Source organism: Homo sapiens, chromosome 1 (genome assembly GCF_000001405.40).
Source record: "Homo sapiens chromosome 1, GRCh38.p14 Primary Assembly".
Lineage (NCBI taxonomy): Eukaryota > Metazoa > Chordata > Mammalia > Primates > Hominidae > Homo > Homo sapiens.
The window spans coordinates 31,077,980-31,099,389 of NC_000001.11; the positions used below are offsets into that span (position 1 = coordinate 31,077,980).

A 21,410-nucleotide genomic window follows, 5' to 3' on the forward strand; every position below is an offset into this window, starting at 1 on the left:
TTTTGGAGCAGGGGAGTAGGAGAGTCTCACTGCATTACCCAGGCTGGTCACAAACTCCTGGGCTCAAGTGATCTGTCAGCCTCCCAAAGTGCACAGCCCTCTCCCAATCATTTTGCTTATTATATCCTTCAGTCTATGTTTCTGTTTCTGGGGTTATTCTGTTGTTTTTTTCCTTTCTATTTATCTCATCATTTTTCGACTAGCTTGTCTTTTTTTTTTTTTTCGGTAGAGATGGGGGTCTTGCCATGGTACCCAGGCTGGTCTCAAATCTTGGGCTCAAGCATTCCTCCTGCCTTGGCCTCCCAAAGTGCTGGGATTATAGGTGTGCGCTACTGTGCCCAGCTGTTCATGATAAACTATAGTATCAATAACACAGCCTGAGCCGGGTGCAGTGGCTCACGCCTGTAATCCCAGCACTTTGGGAGGCCGAGGCAGGTGGATCACCTGTGGTCAGGGGTTTGAGACCAGCCTGGCCAACGTGGTGAAACCCTGTCTCTACTAAAAATACAAAAATTAGCGGGGCATGGTGGCACACACCCATAATCCCAGCTACTCGGGAGGCTGAGGTGGGAGAATCTCTTGAGCCTGGGAGACAGAGGTTGCAGTGAGCCAAGACTGAGCCACTGCACTCCAGCCTGGATGACAGAGTGAGACCCTGTCTCAAAAACAAACAAACAAACAAACAAACAAAAAATAACAACAACAACAACAAAATTAACACAGCCTGCAAATACAGAAATGTGACCGACAGAGCTGCAGGAAAAAACAGATACATTAACCATTATAGTTTTCAACATACTTCTTTCAAAATAGAGCAAATAGACAAAATATGTAAAATCTGTCTAGATGCAGTGGCTTATGCCTGAAATCCTAACACTTTAGGATGCTGGGGCAGGATGCTTGAGCCCAGGCATTTAAGACCAGCCTAGGCAACATAGCAAGACCTGTCTGTACTAAAAATTTAAAAATTAGCTGTGCACAATGGCATCTGCCTGTAGTCCCAGCTTCTCCAGAGGCTGAAGTGGGAGGATTGCTTGAGCTCAGGAGGTTAAGGCTGCAGTAAGCTGTGGTCATGCCACTGCACTCTAGCCTGAGCAAGACCCTGTCTCAAAAAAGAAAAAAGAAAAGAAAAGAAGAGGCCAGGCGCGGTGGCTCACACCTGTAATCCCAGCACTTTGGGAGGCCGAGGTGGCCGGATCACGAGGTCAGATCGAGACCATCCTCGCTAACACGGTGAAACCTTGTCTCTACTAAAAATACAAAAAATTAGCCGTCATGGTGGCGGGCGCCTGTAGTCCCAGCTACTCAAGCGGCTGAGGCAGGAGAATGGTGTGAACCCAGGAGGCGGAGCTTGCAGTGAGCTGAGATTGAGCCATTGCACTCCAGCCTGGGCGACAGAGCAAGACTCCGCCTCAAAAGAAAAAAGAAAAGAAAAGAAGAAAGAAAGAAAACCACAAATCCTGTACTTGAAACTAAACAACGTTATTAAAAAACTATTGAGTTAAGATAATTGTAGAGGAGGCCGGGCATGGCAGATCATGCCTGTAATCCCAGCACTTTGATAGGCCGAGGCGGGCGAATCACTTTAGGACAGGAGTTTGAGACCAGCCTGGCCAACATGGTGAAACCCTGTCTCTACTAAAAATACAAAAATTAGCCGGTCGTGGTGGCGCACACCTGTAATCCCAGCTACTCGGGAGGCTGAGGCATGAGAATTGCTTGAACCCAGGAGGCAGAGGTTGCAGTGAGCTGAGATTATGCCACCGCACTCCAGCCTGGGTGACAGAGCGAGACTCCTCTCAAAAAAAAAAAAAAAAGACAATTGTAGAGGAAATTGCTTAGAAATGAATAATGAAAACACTACACATCAAAATTTGTGGGTCAGAGCAAAAACGGAACTTGGGGGAAAATATGAAATTTAAATACATTTTTTAGGAGATAAAATTGTTCAAAATGAACAGGCTAAGGAATTCAATCAAGAAATAAGAAAAAGTTACAGAGCAAAAGCCTAAAGGAAAAAGAAAGGAAACCCATGTGGATTCTTACAAGGCAAAAGCCAAGAGAATATTAACATAAGAATTAAAACTGCAAAAGATTTGTTGGCTGTTACTCTCCGTGGAGATACCCTTGGTCAATTTTATGATCTTGCGGAACATTTTTTAAAGTGTAGAAAATTACTAGACATATCTGTTCAAGGGAAAATATGTATATAAACACTGTTGTTCAGTGGACACCGTGACTCTGTTTGTGATATTAAAGATATATTATCCAGGCTGAGTGCATTGGCTCATGCCTGTAATCCCAGCACTTGGGGAGGCCGAGGCAGGTTGATCAGTTGAGCCCAGGAGGAGTTCAAGATCTCAAATGATTCACCTGCCTCGGCCTCTCAGTGTTGGGATTACAGGTGTGAACCATCGCAGCTGGCCAATTTTTTTTTTTGTAAAGATAGGGTCTCACTAAGTTGCACGGGCTGGTCAACCTATTATTATTATTATTATTATTATTATATTATTATTATTATTTGAGATAGCATCTGGCTCTGTGGCCCAGGCTGGAATGCAGGCCCAAGATCACAGTTCACTGCAGCCTCAATCTCCTGTGCTCGAGCAATCCTCTGTGTAGCTCAGATGTATTATATACATACATACATATATATATATATATATATATATATATATATATATATATATATTTTTTTTTTTTTTTTTTTTTTTTTTTTTTTTTTTGGCACAAAGTCTCACTCTGTTGCCCAGACTGGGGTGCAATGGCACAATCTCGGCTCACTGCAACCTCTGCCTACAGGGTTCAAGCGTTTCTCCTGCCTCAGCCTCCTGAGTAGCTGGGATTACAGGTGCACGCCACCACGCCCGGATAATTTTATATTTTCAGTAGACATGGGATTTCTCCATGTTGGTCAAGCTGATCTCAAACTCCTGACCTCGTGATCTGCTCACCCCAGCCTCCCAAAGTGCTGAGATTACAGGCGCAAGCCACTATGCCTGGCTATATTTTTTAAGCTCAGAAAGCTGAGAGTAGAATCTTAACTTGGTAAATGTTTTATACCAAAAATCTAAGCCAATATTGCATTTAATGGAGACTTTTTTGGCACACTTCTTTTAAATTGAAAACAAAGGCCAGAGGCCCAGCATAGTAGTGCGGGTCTATGGTCTCAGCAACTCATGAGGCTGAGGTGGGAGGATCGCTGGAGCGCAGGAGGTCGAGGGTGCGTTGAGCCAAGATTGTGTCACTGCACTCCAGCCTGGGTGACAGAGAGGGGCCATATATTTGCAATTTTTTTTTTTTTTTTTTGAGACAGAGTCTCCCTCTGTCACCCAGGCTGGAGTGCAATGGCACGATCTCAGATCTTGGCTCACTGCAACCTCTGCCTCCTGGGTTCAAGTGATTCTTATGCCTCAGCCTCCAGAGTAGCTGGGATTACAGGCGTCTGCCACCACATCTGGCTAATTTTTGTATTTTTAGTAGAGACAGGGTTTCACCATGTTTTTCAGGCTGGTCTCAAACTCCTGACCTCAGGTGATCCACCTGCTTCGGCCTCCAAAAGTGCTGGGATTACAGGCATGAGCAAAAATTTTTTTAAATAACAATAATAATAAAGAAAATAACCAGGATGCCCAATCACCACTCTTGTTTACCACATGACTAGAGATCTGGGCAATGCTGTGAGGAAAAACAAAGGACTTAAAACGGATGAGGTTTCAGGGCGAACGTGGTGGCTCACAACTGTAATCCCAGTACTTTGGGAGGCTGAGGCGGGTGGATCACTTGAGGCCAGGAGTTTGAGACTAGTCTGGGCAACATGGCACAACCCCATCTCTATGAAAAATACAAAAATTAGCTGAGTGTGATGGTGCATGCCTGTAGTCCCAGCTACTAGGGAGACTGAGGCATGAGAATTGCTTGAACCTGGGAGGCGGAGGTTTCAGTGAGCCAAGGTAAGCCGAGATTGGGCCACTGCATTCCAGCCAGGGTAACAGAGTGAGACTCTGTCTCAAAGAAAAAAAAAAGGATAGGAGGCCAGGCACGGTGGCTTACACCTGTAATCCCAGCACTTTGGGAGGCTGAGGCAGGTGGATCACCTGAGATCAGAAGTTCAAGACCAGCTCGGCCAATATGGTGAAACCCCAACTTCACTAAAAATACAAAAATTAGCCGGGTTTGGTGGCACGCGCTTGTAATCCCAGCTACTCAGGAGGCTGAGGCAGGACAATTGCTTGAACCAGGAAGGTGGAGGTTGCAGTGAGCCAAAATCATGCCACTGCACTCCAGCCTCGGTGACAAAGTGAGACTCTGTCCAATAAATAAATAAATAAATAAGGATTCAAAGGAAAGAGCTGAAATTATCACGGCTTGCATATATCTATCTACTGGGAAAAGCCAACAGAATCATCAGAAAAACTATTAGAACCTATGCAAAGGCTACACAATGTTGCTGAATATATTATCAAACCACTAACATCAAGAAAATTTCTCTACCAGCAATAACCAGAGAAAATACAATTCAAAAAATAAGAGGCTGGGTGTGGTGGCTCACACCTATAATCCCAGAACTTTACGAGGCTGAGGCAGGAGGATCATCTGAGGCCATGAGTGTGAGATCAGCCTAGGCAACATAGGGAGACCTCCTCTCTACCAAAAATAAAAATAAGGCTGGGCGTGGTGGCTCATGCCTGTAATCCCAGCACTTAAAGGGAGGCCGAGGCAGGTGGATCACCTGAGGTCAGGAGTTCAAGACCAGCCTGGCCAACATGGTGAAACCCCATCTCTAATAAAAATACAAAAAAAAAAAAAAATTAGCCAGGTATGGTGGCAGGCACCTGGCTACTCAGGAGGCTGAGGCAGGAGAATCACTTAAACCTGGGAGGCAGAGGTTGCAGTGAGCCAAGGTTGCGCCACTGCACTCCAGCCTGGGCAACAAAAGTGAAACTCCATCTCAAAAAATAAAATACAATACAGTAAAATAAATAAAAATAAAAATAAATTAGCCAGTGTGGTGGGGCACACCTGTGGTCCCAGCTATTTGAGAGGCTAAGATCATAAGCTGGCTTGAGCCTGGGAAGTCAAGGTTGCAGTGAACTGTGATCTTGCCTCTGCACTCCAGCCTAGACAACAGAAAGAAAGAAAAATGTCAGAATACTAACAGAAACCTTAATGTATTTAAGAACTAAGCAAAAACATGCAGACATATACAGAGAAAACTTAAAGATTATATTGAAAGGCTGGACATAGTGGTTCATACCTGTAATCCCAGCACTTTGGGAGGCAGAGGTGGGAGGACTGCTTGGGCCCAGGATTTAGGGACCAGACTGGGAAATAATAGCAAGAACTTGTCTCTACAAAAAAAATTAAAAAAAAAAAAGCATAGTGATGAACATATAAACAAAGAGACTAGTCTTAGATGAAATAACCAAACATTATATACATGTCACCACTCCCTAATATTCCATAAATTAATTGCAGTCCCAATAACAATAATTCCAGATTAAAGGTCCACAAATAAAGTTCCATCTTGGAAAGCCTGAATGGGCCAGGCGCGGTTTCACATGCCTCTAATCCCAGCACTTTGGGAGGCCGAGGCCGGCAGATCACAAGGTCAGGAAATCGAGACCAGCCTGGCCAAGATGGTGAAACCCCATCTCTACTAAAAATATGAAAAAAAAAAAATTAATCGGGCATGGTGGCAGACACCTGTAGTCCCAGCTACTCGGGAGACTGAGGCAGGAGAATGGCGTGAACCCAGGAGGTGGAGCTTGTGGTGATCCGAGATCACGCCACAGCACTCCAGCCTGGGTGACAGAGCGAGACTCCGTCTCAAAAAAAAAAAAGAAAGGCTGAATGAACAGGGAGGATTGGGCTTCCTAGATATTAGGGCATACTACAAAACCATAGCAACAAAATTCATTGTGGCATTGTTCAAGAACAGACAAATAGACCAATGGAATAAACTAGAAAGCTTGGAGCCAAGCCTATGTAGATATGAGAACTTAATACACAAGAAAAGCAACACCACAATCACCGGGGAAGGGATGGCTTACTTAGGAGGTGGTGCTGGCAAAGCTGGCTCTCAATAAACCTGGTGACTGCTTAACACAAAAACAAAGGTAGGCTCCTGATGGAATAAAGGCATAAATGTGAAAGGCAAAAATCGCCAGTTAATCAAAGAAAATACTGTAGTCCCCCCACTTATCCACAGGGGACACAGGTAACACCTCCCAGTGAATGCCTGAAACTTCAGATAGTACCAAACCCTCTATAAACTGTTTTTTCCTACATGTATATACCTATCACAAAGTTTAATTTATGAACTAGGCACAGTAGGAGATTAACAACAAATAATAAAATGGAACAATTATAACAATGTACTGTGAGGACTAAAAATAAAAATTTTAAAACCAACCAGACTCCCTCTTGGCCTAGAGGATCCAAGAGAACCCTTAAAAACTGGCAAGAGAGGTTAGACACACCTCACTATACCACTCCTTTTTGGACACAGGTGGCCAGCATTAATGCGAAAATAGAAATCATAAGACTGATGAAACAGACTCTTTGTGACAATAAGATACCAAATTATAAACAATACTCGACCGGGCACCATGGCTCACGCCTGTAATCCCAGCATTTTTGGAGGCGAGGCAGGCGAATCACCTGAGGTCAGGAGTTCGAAACCAGCCTGGCCAACATGGCAAAACCCCATCTCTACTAAAAACAAAAAAAACAAAAAAACAATACTCAAGGCCATGCTAGGCAAGGGTTAAGCCATCCACCCCTACACTTAAAGAACAAACTATGTTCTAACTGCCACAGGTTTTTCTTTCTTTCTTTTCTTTTTTTTTTTTTGAGACGGACTCTCACTCTACTGCCCAGGCTGGAGTGCAGTGGTGTGACCTCGGTTCACTGCAACCTCCGATTCCTAGGTTCAAGCGATTCTCCTGCCTCAGTCTCCTGAGTAGCTGGGATTACAGGCATGCACCACCATGCTAAGCTAATTTTTGTATTTTTAGTAGAGACGGATTTCACCATGTTGGCCAGGTTGGCCTTGAACTCCTGACCTCAGGTGATCTGCCAGCCTTGGCCTCCCAAAGTGCTGGGATTATGGGTTTGAGCCACTGCGCCCAGCCACAAGGTTTTTCTTTTTCTCTGACAGCCAAACAAGCACTGGTCTGGAGATAAACAATCTTAAAACAATTACAACTCATCCAACACCAGACGCTGACAAACTGACCCCCCCTCCCCACCCCCCGTACCACAAACCGTAACTACAGCTTTAACTGGGCTAGTTCAGTGACTTTCTCTTGATAAGAGACCACCAACCGTGGAGTGGCTCTGGTGGTTTACAGAGGCTGTGCACTTTGAGTGCCTTCGTGTCCCTGTTTTACCCTATGTCATATAGGGCCAGATTGTAATGTATTTAAATGTTAAGTCTTCACTCTAAAGTAAACATGAGATGTATGTAACATGCATGTTTATTTAATATACATGTATCAGGACTCCCTTCATAAATATTCATAGCTCCTCCTAGGCCGGGCGCGGTGACTCACACCTGTAATCCCAGCGCTTTGGGAGGCTGAGGCGGGCAGATCACGAGGTCAGGAGATTGAGACCATCTTGGCTAACATGGTGAAACCCCGTCTCTACTAAAAATACAAAAAATTAGCTGGGCGCCATGGCAGGCGCCTGTAGTCCCAGCTACTCGGGAGGCTGAGGCAGGAGAATGGCGTGAACCCGGGAGGCAGAGCTTGCAGTGAGCCGAGATCACGCCACTGGACTCCAGCCTGGGCAACAGAGCAAGACTCTGTCTCAAAAAAAAAAAAAAATTCATAGCTCCTCCTATAACCTGTTGAATATGCATACATGACCAACCTGTTCAACATAAATCCCTGTTCCACTCTCCACTTGCTCAAAGTGCCTGCCTTTCAGTCTGTACTGGAGGCCACACTTCCCAGTCTATCAGAAAGGCCCCCTTACGGGCTGTAACCCATGTAAAAAGTAAAGCTCTGCTTTCTAAATTTATAATTTGTTGGCCAGCCACAATGGCTCACACCTGTAATCCCAACACTTTGGGAGGCCAAGGTGGGAGGATCACTTGAGTCCAGGAGTTCAAGACCAGCTTGGGCAACACAGTGAGACCTCATCTCTACAAAAAATACAAAAATTAGGGGCTGGGTGTGGTGGTTCATGCCTGTGATTCCAGCACTTTGGGAGGCCAAGGCAGGCGGATCACTTGGGGTCAAGAATTCAAGAACAGCCTGACCAACATGGTGAAATCCCGTCTCTACTAAAACTACAAAATTAGCCAGGCATGGTGGCACATGCCTGTAAACCCAGGTACTTGGGAGGCTGAGGCGGGAGAATCACTTGAACCCAAGAGGCAGAGGTTGCAGTGAGCCGAGATCAGATCATGCATTTGTACTCCAGCCTGAGCAACAAGAGCAAAACTTCGTCTCAAAAAAAATAAAAAATAAAAAAATAAAAAAATATGTATATATACACACACACAAAAATTAGCCAGTGTGGTGGTATACTCCTATAGTCCTAGCTGCTGGGGAGGCTGAGACAGGAAGGTCACTTGAGCCTAGCAATTTAATGCTGCAGTGAGCTATGATTGTGCCACTGCACTCCAGCCTGGGCAGCAGAGTGATACTCTGTTTCAAAAAATATATGTATTATTTTAATTTGCAATATACTTAATTACAATTCCAAGAGTATACATATGTTAAATGATTGTCTTTGAGGGCAGTGGTGGCGGGGGAAGGCGATGGAAATGGTGGGAGCAGAAAGAACTAGGGAGTGAGAAGGAAGAGTAGGATAGGAGGTCAGGCCTCTGGGGCCACTGCAAGGCTAGCTAGCCAAGATATTGATCAGGGCTGCGTGATGCAGTCTGACTTAGGTTTCTCAAAAATCACTCTGTATGTTGCATCAGGAATAGACTGTGGCAGGCCGAGGTAGAAGCACAGAGACCTGTTTAGAGGCTATTTACAGTAAACCTGGAAAAAAGATAATGACAGCTCAGACAAAAGTGGTATGAGTGGGACTGGTAAGAAGAGTCTGGATTCTGGATATTTTTGAAGGTAGAGTAAATAAGATTTCCTAAATGAAGGAGTCATGGAGAAGGTAAAAGAAAATAAAGGAATCAGACCAGGTGTGGTGGCTCACGCCTGTAATCCCAGAAGATGCCCAGCTGGGTGGACCACCTGAGGTCAGGAGTTCGAGACCAGCCTGGCCAACATTCTGAAACCCCATCTCTACTAGAAATACAAAAATTAGCCAGGCGTGGTGGCAGGTGCCTGTAATCCTGGCTACTTGGGAGACTGAGGCAGGAGAATCGCTTGAACCCGGGAGGTGGAGGTTGCAGTGAGCCAAGATCATGCCACTGCATTCCAACCTGGGTGACAGAGTGAGACTTGGTCTCAAAAGATAAAAAGAAAAATAAAAAAAGCAAATAAAGGAATCAAAGACAATAATACACCAAGGGAGTTAGTTGTGGTGATAAGGTGGTCTTCACTGGGTTTAGGCAACAAGAAATAAAGATGTGCATTGTCAGTAAATAATTCTAAAATAGACTAAATGTTACTCTGCTATTCAATATCATCATGTACTAGCAATTTTAAACAATGTCTAAAAGTTATAAAATATTTCTCGGCCAGGCGCGGTGGCTCATGCCTGTAATCCCAGCACTTTGGGAGGCCGAGGCAGGTGGATCGCCTGAGGTTGGGAGTTCGAGACCAGCCTGACTAACATGGAGAAACTCCATCTCTCCTAAAAATACAAAATTATCCGGGCATGGTGGTGCATGCCTGTAATCCCAGCTACTCAAGAGGCTGAGGCAGGAGAATCACTTGAACCCAGGAGGCAGAGGTTGCGGTGAGCTGAGATCACACCATTGTACTCTAGCCCAGGCAACTGAGCGCAACGCCATCTAAAAAAAAAAAAAAAAAAAAATTTCTCCCCACCTTAGCAGACCACTCCTACTGCTCATTTCCATCAACCTTGGTGTGCCCTAAGATGACTTAAGGATTTGAGGACTAGAGTACTAGAAAGTTTTACTGAGGGCTGGGCAAGGTAGCTCACACCTGTAATCCCAGCACTATGGGAGGCGGAGGCAGGCAGATCACAAGGTCAGGAGTTTGAGACCACCCTGGCCAATATGGTGAAACCCCATCTCTACTACAAATACAAAAGTTAGCTGGGCATGGTGACGGGCACCTGTAGTCTCAGCTACTTGGGAGACTGAGGCAGGAGAATCACTTAAACCCGGGAGAGGTTGCAGTGAGCCAAGATTGCATCACTACACTCCAGCCTGGGTGACAAAGTGAGACTCCATCTCAAAAAAAAAAAAGAAAGTTGTTCTGAATTTTGTTGGGAAAGGCTATGATCAGAGCAGGTTTTAGGGGAGGGGAGGGGTGCAGGTGAGATTGGGAGTTCAGTTCTGAACATTTTAAATTTGAGCTATTTATTCAACATTCAAGCAGTTCAAGCAGTGTTGTTGGGTAGAATAAGTAAGTCTGGAGTTTAGGGAAAAGATCTGGGCTAGAAATGTACCTTTGGAAGTTGCTGGCATACAAACGGTTTGGTTTTTTGGTTTTTTGGTTTTTTGTTTGTTTGTTTGTTTGTTTTTGAGACAGGGTCTTAACACTGTGGCCCAGGCTGGAGAGCAGTGGCGTAATCTCGGCTCAGTGCAATCTCTGCCTCCCGGATTCAAACAATCCTTCCACCTCAGCCTTCTAAGTAGCTGGGACCACAGGCACGCGCCACCACACTCAGTTAATTTTTGTATTTTTTGTATAGACAGGATCTTGCTATGTTGCTTGGTCTGGTCTTGAATGTCTGAGCTCAAGCAATCTGCCGTGAGCCACGGTGCCCAGCCTTAGTTTGCATTTGTTTTTTTGTTTGTTTTTTTTTTTTGAGATGGTGTCTCGCTCTGTCACCCAGGCTGGAATGCAGTGGTACAATCTCAGCTCACTGCGATCTCTGCCTCCCGGGTTGAGGCGATTCTCCTGCCTCAGTTTCCTGAGTAGCTGGGATTACAGGCCCTTGCCACCATGTCCGGCTAATTTTTGTATTTTTAGTAGAGACAGGGTTACACCATGTTGGTCAGGCTGGTCTTGAACTCCTGATTTCGTGATCTGCCTGCCTCGGCCTCCCAAAGTTCTGGGATTACAGGCGTGAGCCACGGTACCAGGCCCTTAGTCTGCATCTTATATGTTGCTGTTATTTGTGTTTTTATCCTGGATTCTTTTCTTTTTCATCCATGAAAAAGATTCCATGTGCTCAAATTCATGTACTAATTGTGCTCAAATTTAAATCTCTAGTACAGACTTCTCTGCCCAGATCCCGGCTCCCACAGCCATCAACTGCTTATTAGACTTTTCCACACATGAATATCCAACAGATAGCGAAAATCCAACATATCTAAACATTCACATATCTTTGCCTCCTCTCCAAGTGTACTGATATTTTTGTTTGTTTGTTTGTTTGTTGTTTTGAGACGGAGTCTCGCTCTATTGCCCCAGCTGGAGTGCAATGGCATGATCTCGGCTCACTGCAACCTCTGCCTCCGGGATTCAAGTGATTCTTCTGCTTCAGCTGCCCAAGTAGCCAGGACAACAGGCAGGCGCCACCATGCCCAGCTAATTTTTGCATTTTTGGTAGAGATTGGGTTTTGCCATGTTGGCCAGGCTGGTCTTGAACTCTTGACCTCAGGTGATCCAACTGCCTCGGCCTCCCAAAGTTCTGGGATTACAGACGTGAGCCACCGCACCTGGCCGCCAAACCTACTATTAATCCCCATGTCTGTGAGTGACACCAGCATTCACCCAGTTGCCAAGAAAATTATATTTGACTTCTCTCTCTCACCCAGTGATCCCAGAAATCTCAGGTATTGTATTTCCTTTACCTACATTCCTTCCTCCAAGTCACCACTGAGTGTGGTAAGGATTAAATAAGCTAATCCATACAAAGCATTTAGAATAGGGTCTGAAACATAGTAAGTTAACCTTTCTATGTCTTCCATTAGGCCAGGGGCCAGGGGCCAGGGGCCAGGGGCCAGGGGCTGTGAGTGGTCCATCTTTAAATCTCTGGTATCTACGCTGGGCGCAGTGGCTCACGCCTGTAATCCCAGCACTTTGGGAGGTCAAGGCGGGCAGATCACGAGGTCAGGAGTTCAAGACCAGCCTGGCCAACATGGTGAAACCCCGTCTCTACTAAAAATATAAAAATTAGCTGGGCATGGTGGCGCGTGCCTGTAATCCCAGCGACTCGGGAGGCTGAGGCAGGAGAATTGCTTGAACTGGGACCTGGGAGGCAGAGGTTGCAGTGAGCCGAGATCGCACCACCGCACTCCAGCCTGGGCTACAGAGCGAGACTTTGTCTCAAAAAAAAAAAAAAAAAAAAACCCTCTGGTATCCTTATTGAATGGATGAATAATGAGATCGTAGAAGAAGACAGACTAGAGAAGCTATTCAAAGATACATTGTAGCAGTGTTGAGGAAGATAGGAAAAAGAACCAATAAAAAAAAGCTTTGAGGAAGGGAATAGATGAAACAAGATAGTACTGCATTTCAGGAAGCCCAGACAGTGTGAACTTGGGAAAAAACAAGACTGCCAATAGGGTCCCGTACTTCAGGAGACAGAGAAAACGAGAGTAGAAAGAAGCCACTCTGTAGAATGATTGGGGGTACTCCTTGCAGGGAGTCATTTCAGGCTCTCCCTGTAGCCCACACCTCTCTTTCCATCCCCTCCTGGAAGCAATGGTCATGGGATAAGGATAGAATAATAAAATAAAATGAATAAAATAACATTTTTAAAAGGTGAGGCATGGTGGCTCACACCAGTAATCCCAGCACTTTGGGAGGCCAAGGCAAATGGTTCACTTCAAGTCAGAAGTTTGAGACCAGCTTGGCCAACATGGTGAAATCTCATCTCTAGTAAAAATACAAAAATAAGCTGGGCATGCTAGGAGGCACCTGTAATCCCAGCTACTCAGGAGGCTGAGGCAGGAGAATTGCTTCAATCTGGGAGGCAGAAGTTGAAGTGAGCCGAGATCGTACCATTGCACTCCAGCCTGGGTGACAGAGTGAGACTCTGTCTCAAAATATAAATAAATAAATATGTAATTTAAAAGAATCTACAAAATGAGAGTTACACAGACATAACTTCACAATTACTATGCAAGGACCTGCTAATTGTATCATGTCAACTGTTTATTATTATAGAAACTCTATGACCAGCGAGGTGGCTCACGCCTGTAATCCCAGCACTTTGGGAGGCCAAGGCCAGAAGTTCAAGATCAGCCTGGCCAACATGGCAAAACCCTGTCTCTACTAAAAATACAAAAATCAGTCGGGTGTAGTGGCACACACCTGTAATCCCAGCTACTCGGGAAGCTGAGATAGGAGAATCGCTTGAACCCAGGAGGTGGAGGTTATAGTCAGCCAACATTGTGCCACTGTATTTCAGCCTGGGTGACAAAGAGACTCGGTCTAAAAAAAAAAAAAAAAGAAGGAAACTTTATTACTACAAATATTAAGTACTGCTAAAGTTTATTAGCATATAACATTGACATGATTTCTTCCTATTTTTTTATTATGTTAAAATACGTGGGCTGGGCATGGTGGCTCACACCTGTAAGCCAAGCACTTTGGGAGGCCAAGTCAGGCGAATCACATGAGGCCAGGAATTTGAGACTAGCCTGGCCAACATGGTGAAACGCTGTCTCTACTAAAAATACAAAAATTAGCTGAGTGTGGTGGTGCATGCCTGTAATCCCAGCTACTTGGGAGGCTGAGGCACGAGAATCACTTGAACCTGGAAGTCAGAGGGTGTGGTGAGCTGAGATTGCGCCATTGCACTCCAGGCTGGGCAACAGAACAAGATTCTGTCTCAAAAAATAAATAAATAAATAAAATAAAATAAAATGCATGAGCTGGGCATGGTGGCTAATCCCTGTAATCCCAGCACTTTGGGAGGCTGAGGTGGGAAGACTGCTTGAGCCCAGGAGTTTGAAACCAGCCTGGATAACATAGCAAGACCCCATCTCTTAAAAATAAATAAATAAATAAATAAAAAATTAGCCAGGCATGGTGGCTCACGCCTGCTTGGTGCTACTTGGTTTTTCTGCTTGTTTGTTTGTTTGCTTTGAGATGGAGTCTCGCTCTGTCACCCAGGCTGGAGTGAGTGGCCCAATCCTGGCTCACTGCAATCTCTGCCTCCTGGATTCAAGCGATTCTCCTGCTTCAGCCTCCCGAGTAGCTGGGACTACAGGCGTGCGCGCTACTATGCCCAGCTAATTTTTTTGTATTTCTAGTAGAGACAGGGTTTGGCCATATTGGCCAGGCTGGTCTTGAACTCCTGACCTCAAGTGATCTGCCAGCCTTGGCCTTCCAAAGTGCTGGGATTACAGGGGTGAGCCACCACACCAAGCCCTTGGTGCTTGCTTGGGAGGCTGAGATGGGAGGATCATTTGAGCCCAGGAGGTCAAGGCTCCAGTGAGCTACAGTCACATCACTGCACTCCAGTGTGGGTGACAGAATGAGACACTGTCTCTAAAAAACAAAAAACAGAACATAAAATAAAATTGATGAAGTGAACTATTGCTAAGTGTACAGTTCAATTGCACTGAATACATTTATAGTGTTCAACCATCACCACCATACATCTTATTTTCTCTTGTAGAACTGAAACTCTCTACCAGTTAAACAATTATTCCTCATTTATCCCTCCCTCCAGTCCCTGGCAACCACCATTCTACTTTCTGTCTCTATAATTTTGACTATTATAATTATCTTATATAAGTAGAGTCATATAGTATTTGTTGTTTTGTGATTGGCTTATTTCATTTAGCATAATGTCCTAAAGTTTCATACGTGTTGTAGCATACTACAAAATCTCCTTCCTTTTTAAGCCCAAATCATAGTAGTTCATTGTGTGTATCTATCACATTTTGCTTGTTCATTCATCTCTAGATGGACACTTGGATTGTTTCCATATGTTAGCTATTTCGAATAATGCTACTATGAACATGGGAATACAAATATATATTGGAGACTCTGCTTTCAATTCTTCTGGGTATATACCTAGAAGTGGAATTGCTGAATTATAGAGTTAAACTTCTATTTTTTTTTTTTGTTTGTTTAGACAGAGTCTTGCTCTGTCGCCCAGGCTGGAGTGCAGTGGCTTGATCTCGGCTCACTGCAAGCTCTGCCTCCTGGGTTCATGCCATTCTCCTGCCTCAGCCTCCCGAGTGGCTGGGACTACAGGCGCCTGCCACCATGCCCGGCTAATTTTTTGTATTTTTAGTAGAGACGGGGTTTCACCATGTTAGCCAGGATGGTCTCGGTCTCCTGACCTCGTAAATTCGCCTGCATCGGCCTCTCAAAGTGCTGGGATTACAGGCGTGAGCTACCGCGCCCGGCCTAAACATCTATTTTTAATTTTTTTGAGGAACCATCATACTGTTTTCCACAGCAGCTGCACCATTTTACATTTTCATCAAAAGTGCACCAAGGTTCCACTTTCACCACATCCTCACCAACACTTATTTTCTGTTTTTTGAAAGTAGCCATCCTAATGGGTGTGAGGACACTGATATTATTTTAGACTGTTGTAAATAATAAAATCCTAAATCACGAAATAATTTCTCCCCAGACATCAGAAAAAAATGTTTACTTAATTTGTTTTCCATTTAAAACTTTTTTTTTTCTTTGGAGGCAGTCTTGCCATGTCTCCCAGGCTGGAGTAGAGTGGTGCAGTCATCGCTTATCACAGCCTCAAACTCCTGGGCTCAGGCAATCCTCTAGCCTCAGCACCCTGAGTAGCAAGGACTACAAGCACATGCCACCACACTTGGCTAATTTAAAATTTTTTTCTTGCGTAGAGATGAGGTCTTGCTGTGTTACCCTGGCTGATCTTAAGGTCCTGCCTTCAAGCGATCCTCCCTCCTTTGGCATTCCAAAGTGCTGGGATTACAGGTATGAGCTACAGTGCCCAACAACAACAAAAAAATTTTAAATCATGAGATCCAGGAAAAAAAAAAAAAGCCTGTTAAAAAAATTTTATTGGCCGGACATAGTGGCTCACACCTGTAATCCTAGCACTTTGAGAGGCTGAGGCAGGAGGATTGCCGGAGGCCAGGTGTTTGAGACCAGCTTGAGCAACATAGCAAGACTCCATCTCTACTGTGTAAAAACATGGGCCAGGAACGGTGGCTCACACCTGTAATCCCAGCACCTTGGGAGGCTGAGGTGGATGGATTGCTTGAGTTCAGGGGTTTGAGACCAGCCTGGGCAACACGGCAAAAACCCATCTCTACCAAAAAAAAAAAAAGAAAAAAGAAGGAGAAGAAAATTAGTGGGGTGTGGGGGCATTCCTCTGTGGTCCCAGGTACTCAAGAGGGTGAGGTAGGAATGGATCACTTGAGCCAGCGAGGCAGAGGTTGCAGTGAGCCCAGATGGTGCCACTACACTCCTGCCTGGGTGACAGAGTAAACCCTGTCTCAAAAATAAATAAATGCATACATACATAAATACATAAATAAATGCAAGAAACTTATTTTTCTCTAGACAGCAGGGCAAATTTCTTTTTTTTTTTTTTTCGGTTAAATTCGTCCAATATTTGTTGAATTGTGAATGGTTGCAAACGTTGCTGCAATCAGAGACTCACCCATCCTGTTGCCTCTCCTGGCTTCCCTTTGAGAAGGAAGCCTGAGGCGGGACATCCCCCAAACTCTGGGAGACAACTGGGGAGACATGGGGTATGCATAGAGATATGATGAAATCGGGGAACAGGTAGGGCGGTGTGGATTCCGGGGAAGACACATACAAACAGACTCTACCACACAGAGGTAAAGACCAGGGGTGTCAACCTCTGCCCCCAACAGCAGCTGCGAGAACAGGGGAAGACCAGGCGTCCATGAGACATTTCAGTTCTTCCTGTCATGAAGCATCTGCTGAGAGGAGCTGGGTCAAGGTCCCTGGACTCTGCCTTCAGGGCACATTAGCCCTGAGCCAAGGCAGCTTTGATGGCAGCCACCAGCTTCAGAAACTTGTTTTCTGTGTCCACATAGCCATCACCTTTCTTCTTAGAGTGAATCAACTTCCCAGCTACCATTACGTCAAAGAACCCGGTGGCCTGGGGAGTTCCCTTGCTGCAGATGTCCAAAGTCCAGAGGAACTCATCTTCTTTTTCTTTTTTTTTCTTTGAGATGGAGTCTCACTCTGCTGCCCAGGCTGGAGTGCAGTGGTGCGATCTCGGCTCACTACAACCTCGACCTCCTGGGTTCAAGTGATTCTCCTGCCTCAGCCTCCCAAGTAGCTGGGACTACAGGCGCCCGCCACCGTGCCAGGCTAATTTTTTTTGTATTTTTAATACAAACGGTGTTTCATTATGTTGGCCAACATGGTCTCGAACTCCTGACCTCATGGTCTGCCCACCTTGGCCTTCCAAAGTGCTGGGATTACATGCGTGAGCCACTGTGCCGGCCGGGGGAACTCATCTTCTAACTTCTTCTTGAGCTGAAGATACTTGGACTTGTAGCCTCAAGTGCCACATAAACCACTCGCGAGAGCCATGGCTCTGGGCTGCCACCCTCGCTGGGGAGCAGAGACCTGGGTCACAGAGACCTCCTGCCTGGACGCATGAGGTCTGCACCACAAATTTATTTAAAAAGGAATTTTATTCATTTAAAATATATGCATACAGTTGCTTACTATAATCTAGGCACTGTCTTAAGCATTTGTTTCCACCAGCTACACTAAATGACTCATCTACATCACCAGATTTCAGGAGAAATTAGATGCACTGCCAGAAGAAAAGGAAATACTTTAGATACTAGTTTTAGCAAAACATGGCATTAATACATTGCAGATGGAGCAGGATGTGAATTTACCTACAACTTCCACACTCTGTAACTGATGGATTTTGAGAAAAACTAGGAAAAAACAGTGACAAAGAATTCATTAAACCAAATTACTTTTTGACTATATATCTACTTGGCCACATAATTTTGCATATTAAACAGCAACTGTAGTTAAAATTATCTATCTCAGATAAGAATCTTTTTCTTTTTAGTTTGTATGTATGTATGTATGTATGTATTTTGAGGCAGGGTCTCACTCTCTTACCTAGGCTGGAGTGCTGGAGTGCGATCACAGCGCACCGAGGCTTTCCCTCCCAGGCTCAAGTGATCCTCCCACCTCAGCCTCCCCAGTAGCTGGGTACACAGGCAAGGATCACCACATCTAGCTAATCGTGTTACTTTGTGTAGTGACAGGTTCTCCCTATGTTGCCCAGGCTAGTCTCGAACTCTTGGGCTCAAACAATCCTCCTGCCCCAGTCTCTCAAAGTGCTGGATTACAGGCATGAGCCTCTGTGCCCGGTCTTTTTTTATTTTAGGTATTTTTGTATTTATTTATTTTTGAGACGGAGTCTTGCTCTGTCACCCAGGCTGGAGTGCAGTGGCACAATCTCAGCTCACTGCAAGCTCTTTCTCCCGGGTTCACAACATTCTCCTGCCTCAGCCTTCTGAGTAGATTGGGACTACAGGCGTCCGCCACCACGCCCAGCTAATTTTTTTGTATTTTTAGTTGACACGGGGTTTCACCGTGTTAGCCAGGATGGTCTCAATCTCCTGACCTTGTGATCCTCCTGCCTTGGCCTCCCAAAGTGCTGGGATTACAGGCATGAGCCACTGTGCCCGGCCGCCTTTTTTTTTATTAATAAGAGATGGAGTTTTGCTTAATTGCCCAGGCTGGTGTGCAGTGGTCTGATCATGGCTCACTGCAGCCTTGAACTCCTGGACTAAAGCAATCTTCCTGTTCCAGCCTCCCCAGTACCTAGGACTACAAGCATGTGCCACCACGCAGGGTGATTTTTAAAAATCTTTTTGGGCCGGGCGCGGTGGCTCATGCCTGTAATCACAGCACTTTGGGAGGCCGAGATGGGCAGATCACGAGGTCAGGAGATCGAGACCATCCTGGCTAACACGGTGAAACCCCATCTCTACTAAAAATACAAAAACTTAGCTGGGCATGGTGGCACACGCATGTAGTCTCAGCTACTCAGGAGGCTGAGGCAGGAGAATTGTTTGAACCCAGGAGTCGGAGGTTGCAGCGAGCCAAGATGGCGCCATTGCACTCCAGCCTGGGCAACAGAGTGAGACTCCATCTTAAAAAAAAAAACAAAAAAAACTGTAGATATGTGGTCTTGCCATATTGGCCAGGCTGGTCTCAAAATCTTGATTGCCCAGGATGCCAAAAATCTTGTTATTTTCTAGAATCTAATATGAGAACCATTGAATAATTACAACATATTTGCAACAATGATAATTTTCTATTACCTTATATTCAATATTTGATTTGTATAATTTTTACAGAATGATTTAATGCTTGTCATAATTGTTATTCTTTAAAAAAATTTTTTTGTAGAGCTCTTACTATGTTGCTGAGGCTGGTCTGGAACTCCTGGCCTCAAGTGATCCTCCTGCCTCACCCTTCCAAAATGTTGGGATTATAGATGTGAGCCAGTTCTATGCCCAGGTATGCCCAGTCTTATAATTGTTATTCCCCAGAAATAATAAACTAACTTATATAATGTCTTACTGGAGGATGGAGCAACTTTTTGTAATTCTCTAAAACAGGGATCAGCAAGTACAGGCCACAAGCTAAATTCTCAGCTTGCTTCCTGTTTTCTTTTCTTTCTTTCTTCTTCTTTTTTTAATAGGCTTTATTTATTTATTTATTTATTTATTGAGATGGAGTCTCACTCTGTCGCCCAGGTTGGGGTGCAGTGGCATGATCTCGGCTCACTGCAGTCTCTGCCTCCTGGGTTCAAGCGCCCGGCTAATTTTTGTATTTTTAGTAGAGACGGGTTTTCACCATGTTGGCCAGGCTGGTCCTGAACTCCTGACCTCAAGTGGTCTGCCCGCCTCGGCCTCTCAAAGTGCCGGGATTACAGGCATGAGCCACCATGCCCGGCCTATTTATTTTTTGAGATGGAGTATTGCTCTCGTTGCCCAGGCTGGAGTGCAATGGTGCAATCTCGGCTCACTGCAACCTCTGCCTCCTGGGTTCAAGCAATTCTCTTGCCTCAGCCTCCTGAGTAGCTGGGATTACAGGCGTATGCCACCGTGCCTGACTAATTTTGTATTTTTTTTTTAATAGAGATGGGGTTTCACCATGTTGGCCAGGCTGGTCTCAAACTCCTGACCTCAGGTGATCCCCCCCCCAACCTTGGCCTCCCAAGTGCTGGGATTACAGGCGTGAACTACCGCACCTGGAAGACAGGCTTTATTTTTTAAGATCAGTTTTAGGTTTGTGGCAAAATTGAGCAGAAGATACCATATTTCCTGTATACTTCCTACCCCTATACATGAATAGCCTCCTCCGTTTTCAATATATCCCCCATCAGAGTGGTACATTTGTGACAACTGATGAATCTACATTGACACGTCATTACCACCTGACTCCCTGTTTTTGTAGGACCCCTGCAAGCCAAGAATGATTGTAACATTTTTAAAGGTGGGGAAAAAACTTTAAGAGTACTATTTCTTGACATTTTTCTGCAAATGATATGAAATTCAAATTTCAGTGTCCATAAATAAAGTTTTGTTGGAACACAGTCAGACCCAGTTGATTAAGTAGTGCCTGTGGCTCCTTTTGTGCCCCACAGCTGAGTTGAGTAGGTACCACCATGACCATATGGCCTACAAAGCCTTTGGGAGGCCGAAGTAGGCAGACCAGTTGAGGCCAGGAGTTCGAGACCAGCCTGGCCAACATGGTGGCCATGCTCTCCAGCCTGTGTGACAGAGGCTGGATCATAGTTCACTGCAACCTTGAACTCCCACCTTGATCCTCCCACCTCAGTCTCCCACGTAGCTGGGACCAGGCACACGCCACAGTGCCCAGACAATTTTTTTTTTTATTTTTTGAGATGGAGTTTCGTTCTTGTTGCCCAGGCTGGAGTGCAATGGTGCGATCTCGGCTCACTGCAACCTCCGCCTCCCAGGTTCAAGCGATTCTCCTGCCTCAGCCTCCCGAGTAGCTAGGATTACAGGCACGCTCCACCACGCCCAGCTAATTTTGTATTTTTAGTAGAGATGAAGTTTCTCCATGTTGGTCAGGCTGGTCTCGAACTCCTGACCTCAGGTGATCCGCCCTCCTCAGCCTCCCAAAGTACTGGGATTACAGGTGTGAGCCACTGTGCCAGCCAATTTTTTTATTTTTTGTAGAGACTGGATCTCACTTTGTTCCCCAGGCTGGTCTTGAACTCCAAGGCTTAAGTGATCCTCCTGCCTTGGCCTCACAAAATGCTGGGATTATAGGAGAGAGCCACTACACGCAGCTATGTGTTCCTGAATTTGCCAACCTCTCCCTTTGACTCTCAGGACCCAAATTCTTGGC

General features: G+C 45.2%; 1 pseudogene; it reads right to left on the reverse strand.

The window, feature by feature from the left end:
- On the reverse strand, window positions 16,610-17,659 carry SELENOWP1 (selenoprotein W pseudogene 1; annotated as a pseudogene).